We start from the raw sequence: 9,399 nt of genomic DNA on the forward strand, positions 1-9,399 counted from the left end.
AAGTGTGTGTCAATATTTTATAAGCATAAACATTAGCTTTTAAAAATGTATTCATAGGATTTTTATTTTTGGAAGTAAAATTAATGTTAGGATTAAGAAAGATTCATTTATTCCTCTTATCATCTTGTGAGACAAATATAATTCTCTCCATTTAAGAAGCCAAAGCCAAGACAGCCACAGGAACCTGCCCAAGATTTCATAGTTCATCTGGTCTGTGATCCCAACCTAAATCCTACTGACTCCAAAGCCGGAGTTATTTATATGGATTAGCTGCTTCCCATTCAATGATTTAACACAGGGCCCAGCAGAGATCCAGGTGTTCAGAAACTGTTAGTAGAAATTGAAACTTTTTTTTTAAGAGGATCTGATGGTGATGGGTAGGAAAACTACAGATGATAGAGCCAAATGAATTGAGGAATTCAAGGAAGGGGGCATCTCCTGGGGAAGGTTCAAGCTTTCAAAACAAGAATTTTTTTTTTTAATGTTTTTAGAGACAGGGTCATTCTCTGACACCCAAGCTGGAGTGCAACAGCACCATCACAGCTCAGTGTAACCTTGAATTCCTGGACTTAAACCATCTTCCCACCTCAGCTTCCTAGATAGGTTGGGCTACAGGGATGCACCACCATGCCCAGCTATTTGTTTGTTTCATTGTTGTTGTTGTTGTTGTTGTTGTTATTGAGACAAGGTCTCCTTCTGTAACCCTTCTGGAATGCAGTGGTGTAACCACAGCTCACTGCAGCCTCGAACTCCCAGGATCAAATGATCCTCCCACTTCAATCTCCCAAGTAGCTGGGACTACAGGCATGAGCCACTATGTCTGGCTTAATTTTTTTTAATTACTTTTTGTAGAGACAATATCTTGCTATGTTGCCCAGGCTGACCTCAAACTCCTGGCCTCAAGTGATTATCCCACCTTGGCCTCCCAAATTACTGAAATTACAGGAGTAAGCTACTGCACCTGGTCTAAAACAAGGACCTTTTTAAAAGTCAAAATGGGCCGGGCATGGTGGCTCAGGTCTGTAATCCTAACACTTTGGGAGTCCGAGGCGGGTGGATCAACTGAGGTCAGGAGTTCGAGACCAGCCTGGCCAACATGGCAAAACCCCGTCTCTACTAAAAATACAAAAATTAGCCAGGCATGGTGGTAGGTGGCTGTAAGCCCAGCTACTCAGGAGGCTGAGGCAGGAGAATCCCTTGAACCCAGGAGGCGGAGGCTGCAGTGAGCCAAGATCGCCCCATTGCACTCCAGACTGGGTGACAGAGCAAGACTCTGTCTCAAAAGAGAAAAAAAAAAAAAGTCAAAATGGGCTGGGCATGGTGGCTCATGCCTGTAATCCCAGCACTTTTGGGAGGTTGAGGTGGGAGGATCACTTGAGGCCAGAAGTTCGAGACCAGCCTGGCCAACACAGCAAAACCCTATCTCTAATAAAAATACAAAAATTAGCCCAGCATGGTGGCAGGTTCCTGTAATCCCAGCTACTTAGGAGTCTGAGACAGAAGAATTGCTTGAGCCCAGGAGGCAGAGGTTGCAGTGAGCCGAGATCATGCCACTTCACTCCAGCCTGGGTGACAGAGCGAGCCTCTCTTGTCTCAAAAAAAAAAAAAAAAAGTCAAAATGGGGCTGAGCTATGGGCAAGAGAAGAGATTTCATTCTCAGAAGGAAAAGTCTAGGCCAACAGTGCTGATATGGTCATCCTGTATTTCACACACACACTCCCTCAGCTGACCTAGGGAAGTCAGCATCAATCATGTTGATACTATGTACCCTTGATAACATGAGATGAAAATGGCATTTTAACTCTGTGGTTTTCCTTCCCAAAACCCATAACACCACTCTAATCTTGAGAAAAACATTAGACAAATTCCAATAGAGGCATCCTACAAAATACCTGACCAGTACTCCTCAAAGCTGTCAAAGTCATCCAAACATCATTATGGGCTTTTTTGTTTTTGTTTTTTGAGACAGAGTTTCACTCTTGTTGAGCAGGCTGGAGTGCAATGGCACAAACTTGGCTCACCGCAACCTCCCCCTCCCAGGTTCAAGCGATTCTCCTGCCTCAGCCTCCCAAGTAGCTGGGATTACAGGTGTGTGCCACCCCGCCCAGCTAATTTCATATTTTTAGTAGAGATGGGGTTTCTCCATGTTGGTCAAGCTGGTCTTGAACTCCCGACCTCAGGTGATTTGCCCGCCTCGGCCTCCCGAAGTGCTGGGATTACAGGCATGAGCCACCATGCCCAGCCCATTATGTTTTTGAGAACTAAACATAATGTGGTGGTCTAGATGGGATCCTGGAACAGAAAAACACATTAGTTTAAAAAAACGAGGCTGGGCACGGTGGCTCATGCCTGTAATCCCAGCACTTTGGGAGGCTGAGGCGGGCGGATCATGAGGTCAGGAGATGGAGACCATCCTGGCTAACATGGTGAAACCCCGTCTCTACTAAAAATAAAAAAAATTAGTCGGGCGTGGTGGCAGGTACCTGTAGTCCCAGCTACTCAGGAGGCTGAGGCAGGAGAGTGGTGTGAACCTGGGAGGCGGAACTTGCAGTGAGCTGAGATCGCTCCACTGCACTCCAGCCTGGGCGACAGAGCAAGACTCCGTCTCAAAAAATAAGAAAACAAAAAAAAACACGGAGGCTGAGCATGGTGGCTCACGCCTGTAATCCCAGCACTTTGGGAGGCCAAGGCGGGCGAATCACGAGATCAGGAGTTCAAGACCAGCCTGGCCACCATAGTGAAACCCCGTCTCTACTAAAAATACAAAAATTAGCTGGGCGTATGGCGGGCACCTGTAAACCCAGCTACTCAGGAGGCTGAGGCAGGAGAATCACTTGAACCTGGGAGGCGGAGGTTGCAGCAGTGAGCCAAGATCAGTGCCACTGCACTCCAGCCCGGTGACAGAGTAAGACTCAGTCTAAACAACAACAACAACAACAAAAACTCAAAGGAAATCTGAATAAACTGTAGACTTTAGTTAATAATAATGTTTCAATACTGTTTCATTAATGGTGCTAAATGTACCATACTAATGTCAGATAATAATTGAGGAAATTGAATGTAGGGTATATAGGAATTCACCATATTATCTTTTCAATTTTTCTGTACATGTAATGTTTCTAAAAATAAAGTTGGCTAGCCTCAGTGGTTCACACCTGTGATCCCAGCACTTTAGGAGACCGGGTCTGAGGATGGCTTGAGCCCAGGAATTCAAGACCAGCCTGGGCAACATAGTAGGACTCTGTCTTTACAAAAATACAAAAATTAGCCAAGTGTGTTGGCACGTGCCTGTAGTCCCAGCTGCTCAGGAGGCTGAGATGGGACGATCACTTGAGTCTGGGAGGTTGAGCCTGCAGTGAGCCATGATCATGCCTCTGCACTCCACCCTGGGTGACAGAGTAAGACCTTGTTGCTAAAAAAATGAATAAATTGGGCAGGTGCAGTGGCTCATGCCTGTAATCCCAATGTCTTGGGAGGCCGAGGCAGGTGGATCACTTGAGCCTAGGAGTTTGAGACCAGCCTGGGCAACATAGTGAAACCCCGTCTCTACAAAGAATACAAAAAAAAAAAAAATTAGCCAGGTGTGGTGGCATGCACCTGTGGTCCCAGCTACTTGGGAGGTTGACGTGGGAGAATCACCTGAGCCTGGGAAGTCAAGACTGCAATGAGCTGTGATTGCACCACTGTGCAGCCTAGGTGACAGAGTGAGACCCTGTCTCAAAATAAATAAATAAAATAAAATAAAGGCTAATATATATGTATAGATATGTATATGTATTTTTTTATGTGTAGGTATATATACACATATATATACACATACTTCATTTTTTTTTATCAGGCCCCATTCTCATCATTCAGAGCTTGCTCTTTGGTTTTCACTAAAGCAAATCCAGGGGAACTAATTTCAGAAGATCACTGACCACTGACTATTAAAATATATAAATGAAGTGTATGGTAATGAGACTGGCTGTCCATAAACACATTACAACTTATCATCCAAATGAGTGCTGTCATTTCAAGATAGTCATTCAAGAAGCTTTTAGCTTTGTTTTAATGAGGACACTGCTCAAAACAACAAGAATCTCCTTCAGAGTCTATAACACACAATGCAATGAATATTCATTATCTGCAGGTGGATTGGATTTATGCAAATAGCCAAAAGAACTCAGGCCAACACTGATGAGTAAATGGGGTGGGAAATCTGGATGGTTAATGTGTTTCAAAATTTTTTGGATTTTTGAAAGATAGTATGGTGCATATACAAAATATAAAGCAACAATCCCAATGCATCAGGACAGCACCCAGTAATCAAACAAATTAATATTTCTGGAATGACACATATGACTTCATACTGTGGTAAGTGAAAGATGGAAAAGTGAAAACTATAAATAACCTTATGTAAGTTTAGGTCAGGTTCTGCCACAAAATAAATTCAGTTCAGATTAGGTTTTATTGTCAAATATGTTATGAAAAAGATTTTGTTTTTGTTTTTGAGACGGAGTTTTGCTTTTATCGCCCAGGCCAGAGTGCAATGGCGTGATCTCAGCTTGCTGCAACTTCTGCTTCCCAGGTTCAAGCGATTCTCATGCCTCCACCTCCCGAGTAGCTGGGATTACAGGCGCCCGCCACCACGCCCAGTTAATTTTTGTTTTCTTCTGTTTTGTTTTGTTTTGTTTTGTTTTGAGACCGAGTCTCACTCTGTCACCCAGGCTGGAGTGCGATGGCGCGATCTCGGCTCACTGCAACTTCTGCTTCCCAGGTTCAAGCGATTCTCGTGCCTCCACCTCCCGAGTAGCTGGGATTACAGGCATGCGCCACCACGCCCAGGTAATTTTTGTATTTTTAGTAGAGACGGGGTTTCGCTATGTTGGCCGGCTTGTCTTGGACTCCTGACCTCAGGTGATCCACCCACCTCAGCCTCCCAAAGTGCTGAGATTAAGGGCATAAACCACAGTACCCGGTCAAGCTTTTGGTTTTCATAATTTTTTTAAATTTAGGAATTGTGGATAAAGGATTTGCAGGCCACGAATATTTGATGAAGGCTATTCCAGAGTTTTGAGAAGGAACACTCCATTCCACATACTCAGTCACCCAAGCTAGGAGCCTGAGAGTCACCCTAAACCCTCATTCTCTCCTCTCAACCCCTCAGCCAATCAATCAAGTCCTGTCGATCTTATTTTCTATATTTTGAATCTGTTCTTTCCCCCCATGCCAGTGCCTTGCCATCTTTCAACTGAGAGGGTCCTTCAGTATTTTTCAAGCTGACCTTCCTACTGTTTTTGCAGCCATAAATCCTTCCTCCACTCTGCTCCTAAGTGCAGATCTGACCATGCCATGAGTCTTTGTTTCCAGAGTCTTTATGGTTCCAGTAACACCACAGGATGAAGTCCAACATCCTTAGTATGATCTAAAACTCAGAGGCAAAGACACAAATAACTATAATAATGTTATTCAATGTTTGTCACCAATCTGTAATGAAACAATTTCAGAAATTAAGTGTAAGCATTTAGAAAGTTTTATAGGAATTTGACAGAGAAATTTTATATTTATTGAATCTAACAAAATGGTAGTTTATTTTGTTTTTTGAATAATTCATTTTTAGTGCATTCTACAAAAGTAGTGGACAATAATAGATTGGAAATGTTTTAAAAATTGGTCCTTAACCATACTTTGAAAAGCACTGGTCCAAAATATTTTTAATGTAATGTACCTGTACACCTCCCTAGGCTCGTTTCTAACCAGCTCCACCCACCACCCAGCAATAATGAACAACCTTTTATAGTTTCTGAAACATATCACTCTGTTTCATACCTCCACCTCCATGGAAATGCACTTTCTGGCCTCTCTGACTTGACTTCCCTTCCTCCTAGAATTTTTGTTTTTGTTTTTGTTTTTTGTTTTTGAGACTCACTTTTTGCTCTGTGGTGCAGGGATGCAGTGGCGCCATCAAGGCTCACTGCAGCCTTCAACTTCTGGGCTCAAATGTTCCTCCCACCTCAGCCTCCTGAAGTGCTATGATTACAGGTGTGAGCCACCGCCCTGGCCACTCCTGGAAATCTCATACTGACTGCATCATCACCTCCTTTGGATGCCTGTCTAAACCAAGGCCCCTCACAACTCCAAGCAGAACAGATCACTCACCCTCTTATACTTCTGTCATTGTTGTACCCATATTATTGCACTATGTTGTAATTATTCGTTTATAGGTCTATTTCCCCTATTAGTCTGTGAGCTCCTTAAAGGCAGTGGTTAGGATTATCTGTCTTTCAGGAGTGAAACATTTCTTGTAAAATAACTAACTTGAAGGACAACATTCCTTAGATGATAAATTCTGCCATGTTACTGAAAGAGAAAAAAGGGATCATTACTTTATACTTTTCTATTACCAGCCAGGACTTCGGCCTACTACCTTTAGCATCTGAGTGTGAATTAATTTACCAGAATGGTGGACATTTTAGAAGGCCAAGGAGCCAGATTTGTGGGACTCACTGGAAACTTTACAAGGGAAAGAGATATGGAAAACAAATGTCTTCACTTAAACAGTTTTGCCCAGGCTCAGCCCCTTTGGGAGTAAAATCTGTGTCATGTGCCCTTTCAAAGTTGCACAGGCCTGTGAATAGGATCAATTTATTCATTTCAGAGGGTCCACCAGATAACAGGCCTATCCTGGAGAGGTCCTGGATTTCGGCTGAAACAAGCAACTATAATTGGAAATGTGTACAAAGAGCAATGAGGAGGCCACCGAGGGGTGGGAGGAATTAATTCTGCCTGGAGGAGTGGAAGGGGTCCAGGAAGGAGAGGGTGAGCCAAACCTTGCTGAGTGAGTCGGATCTGGCCCAGTGGAGACGTTGGGGGAGGAGTGAGCAGAGCAATCTGCTAGATGAAAATCTACACGTGCGCGTAGGGACGACAGTCTCTGCACTCCTCTTCCGCCCACTTTCCTCCCTTTCCTCGCAATCGTTTCCCCTTTTCTTGGAAAACTAGGACTGAGGATACTGTTTCCCTTCACGGAGGAGACCAGCACAGATAAAAGAATATTAATCCTTTTTATCACGAGATCAGTTCCTCTGGTCTGTCTTTGAGAGCACTGGGGATGGGGAGAGCAGGTGAGTCAGGCACAGAAGTGGTCCTTCTTTGAGTGAGCCAAGGGGACACAGGGGAGAACAGGTCCCATGCAGGAAACAAATGAAAATTTTTGTATTTGTCCCCACTCCCTTTTTGTCACCACTCCCCCCCCCCCACACACACACCTGTCTCTTTATGTTTTTCTATAGTTTCCCATGGTCTCCGTCTTTGTCTTTGCCTCTTTCCCTTTGCTACAGGCTGGAAATTCCTTGTTCTCAACGGAAGGGAGTAGGAGGGGAGTTGGGGGTGGCAGGAGTGGGCGGGAAGAACAGACATCTCGGCAGCTCTGGCTGCGGGCTGCGGGGGCGCTCTGGGCCTCTGGCGGGCCCTGACAAGTCAATGATTTTTTAAATAGGGGCTCATACACAAACCTAGAGAGAGAGAGGAACACAGATATACAAGTGGATATAAAGAAACATATAAATACATAATCTCGGGTACAGAGACACAAACTGGCAGTAGCGTCTTAAATATGCTTAGCATTCTACAATTTAGAGAGTTTTCCCGTACATTCTCTCATCCGAATCTCACGACAATCTTGAGAAACAAGGGCACAAAGACACAAACACCCGGTAGTTTCACTCTCACACACGGGTTCGCACCCGGACCCCCGCTGGCTCCCCTAGGGGAGTGGGCAGGCCCCTTCTGCGGAATTTCTCTTCCCTCGTCCCTCTCTGGCCGAGCACCCCCTCTCCCAGGACCCGGGAGCGGAGAGCTCAAAATCGGCTCCTCCCTCCCCCTCTTTCCCGGATCAGGACCGGGACCCGGGCGCCCCGCGCCCAGTAGGTTGCCGCTCACTTGCTCACGCCCTACTCCGCCTCCTCCTTGGGCGGGCGTCTCCCTCCAGATCCTAAGGCTCAGCGCCGCCCCAAGGGGGCCGGGGTGGGAGGGAGGGGGGCGCCTCGAGCAGAGGCTGCGTGGGCGGAGGATGTGCGTCACGGGGAGCGTGGGCTGGGGGAGGGAGGGGGCACGTGGAAACCCGGGGCCAGCGGCTGGCAGCCCGGGATCCAAAATAACCTGAGGTGGGGGGGGAGGGGTCGCCCACACCCCGTACGGGGTCGGGAGCGTCCCCAGGGGAGCCCGTCTAGCCGCACCCTCCAGTTGCGGGGCGGGGGACTGGGAGACGGGACTCTGCTCGTTCCCACCACCCCCACTGTGTTTGGCGCTTAATAGGTTGGAGAAGAGGACCTGAGCAACTGAAATCCTCCCACCAACAACGCGCTCCTTCTCCCCGGACCCCACAAGGCGGAAAGGTCTCCTCGCTAGGCCACATTGTAAAACCAGCCCCGGTCCACGGCCTCCACGCCCCGCCATGCCCCACCCCAGCCCCTCAGAAGTGCGGACAGAGAGGCGGGGCGGGGCTGAGATTCCGGACTAGGGGAAACCTCACCTGTGGCCAGTCCGCTCGCTTTCCCCGGCCCCCACCCCCCCTCCTTTCCCTGGGGCTTAGAGTCTATGGGCCGGGCCCTTAGAGCCCCCGCCTCCCCCAACAGCCCTCCCAGCCGTGGGCGGGAGTGCAATGCGAACCAGATGGGGCTAGGAGAAACCAAAGGGGGAGACGGTGGTGGGTTGCAGAGGCGGGGGCTAAGCTCCTTCAAGGCGCTCCTCCTTCCAGCTCCGCCGCAGGAAGTCACGTCGTAGGCTCCCGACCTCTTACTCATCTTCCACTAGACTCTCGGGCGAGGTCCCTAATAGACGGCCCCAGGAAGGGTATCGTCTTTGTCACACAAAATTCCCAGGCAGGGCCTCATCCTCAGCAAACAGAGGACAAGTGGAGGAATCCCTGCCTGACCTACGCGCTGACAAAAGCCGACGCGTCTAATCAACACGCGCACCTAAGTGGTGGCGTGCAGCATAACCCTCCCATTCCTGTTTCCCAAACTTTCCAGGCTAGCATGGAGGCCTGGGTTTCTGAGAGCGACCCCCTCAGATTATTCCATTGGGGCTGAGGAGGGGCGCGGGGATATCTAGGAGATCCCTGCAGAGCCCCACGCTCTCAGGCCCGCCTTAAGTGCACACTATACGGGAGTCAGATGCACGCACAGGAGAAGCCGCACAGCCCAGCCTTCGCTAACTTTTCCCGGCTCACTGCTAACATTCACACGTCCAGCACCACAAGGCCTGAGTATGGGCAACGGGCGTCCCCGTAGTTGTTTAGGCGCGTGTGCACGTCCGTGCGCTTCTGTGTCTTTGTGTACTTGTGCGTGGTTGTGAAACTCCTCTCTCAGCTCGGAGGGGTGGGGGAGAGAAGGAATGTCGCCGGCGGGGCGCTCA

General features: G+C 47.8%; 1 protein-coding gene across 5 annotated transcripts in view, besides 3 other annotated features; it reads right to left on the minus strand.

Moving 5' to 3' along the window:
* NEMP1 (nuclear envelope integral membrane protein 1) overlaps positions 1–9,329 on the minus strand; it is a 32,985-nt gene extending 23,656 nt beyond the window's left edge. For 3 of the 5 annotated variants that reach the window (XM_011538058.4, XM_011538056.3, XM_011538060.3), the window contains exon 1: positions 8,516–9,329. In XM_011538058.4, the coding sequence (XP_011536360.1) occupies positions 8,516–8,786 (271 nt within the window). In that variant the 5' untranslated portion in view covers positions 8,787–9,329. Of the gene's footprint in view, positions 1–7,250; positions 8,015–8,515 lie in introns of those variants that run through there. The other 2 variants (XM_024448900.1, XM_047428587.1) reach the window with 2 other exon arrangements.
* Positions 8,018–8,167: a silencer, noted in NCBI's record as "silent region_4569". NCBI's record gives its function as "represses an Ori minimal core promoter by ATAC-STARR-seq in GM12878 lymphoblastoid cells {active_cell/tissue: GM12878}" and the evidence as "EXISTENCE:reporter gene assay evidence [ECO:0000049][PMID:35858748]".
* Positions 8,348–8,407: a silencer, noted in NCBI's record as "silent region_4570". NCBI's record gives its function as "represses an Ori minimal core promoter by ATAC-STARR-seq in GM12878 lymphoblastoid cells {active_cell/tissue: GM12878}" and the evidence as "EXISTENCE:reporter gene assay evidence [ECO:0000049][PMID:35858748]".
* Positions 9,088–9,137: an enhancer, noted in NCBI's record as "active region_6525". NCBI's record gives its function as "activates an Ori minimal core promoter by ATAC-STARR-seq in GM12878 lymphoblastoid cells {active_cell/tissue: GM12878}" and the evidence as "EXISTENCE:reporter gene assay evidence [ECO:0000049][PMID:35858748]".

Source organism: Homo sapiens, chromosome 12 (genome assembly GCF_000001405.40).
Source record: "Homo sapiens chromosome 12, GRCh38.p14 Primary Assembly".
NCBI lineage: Eukaryota > Metazoa > Chordata > Mammalia > Primates > Hominidae > Homo > Homo sapiens.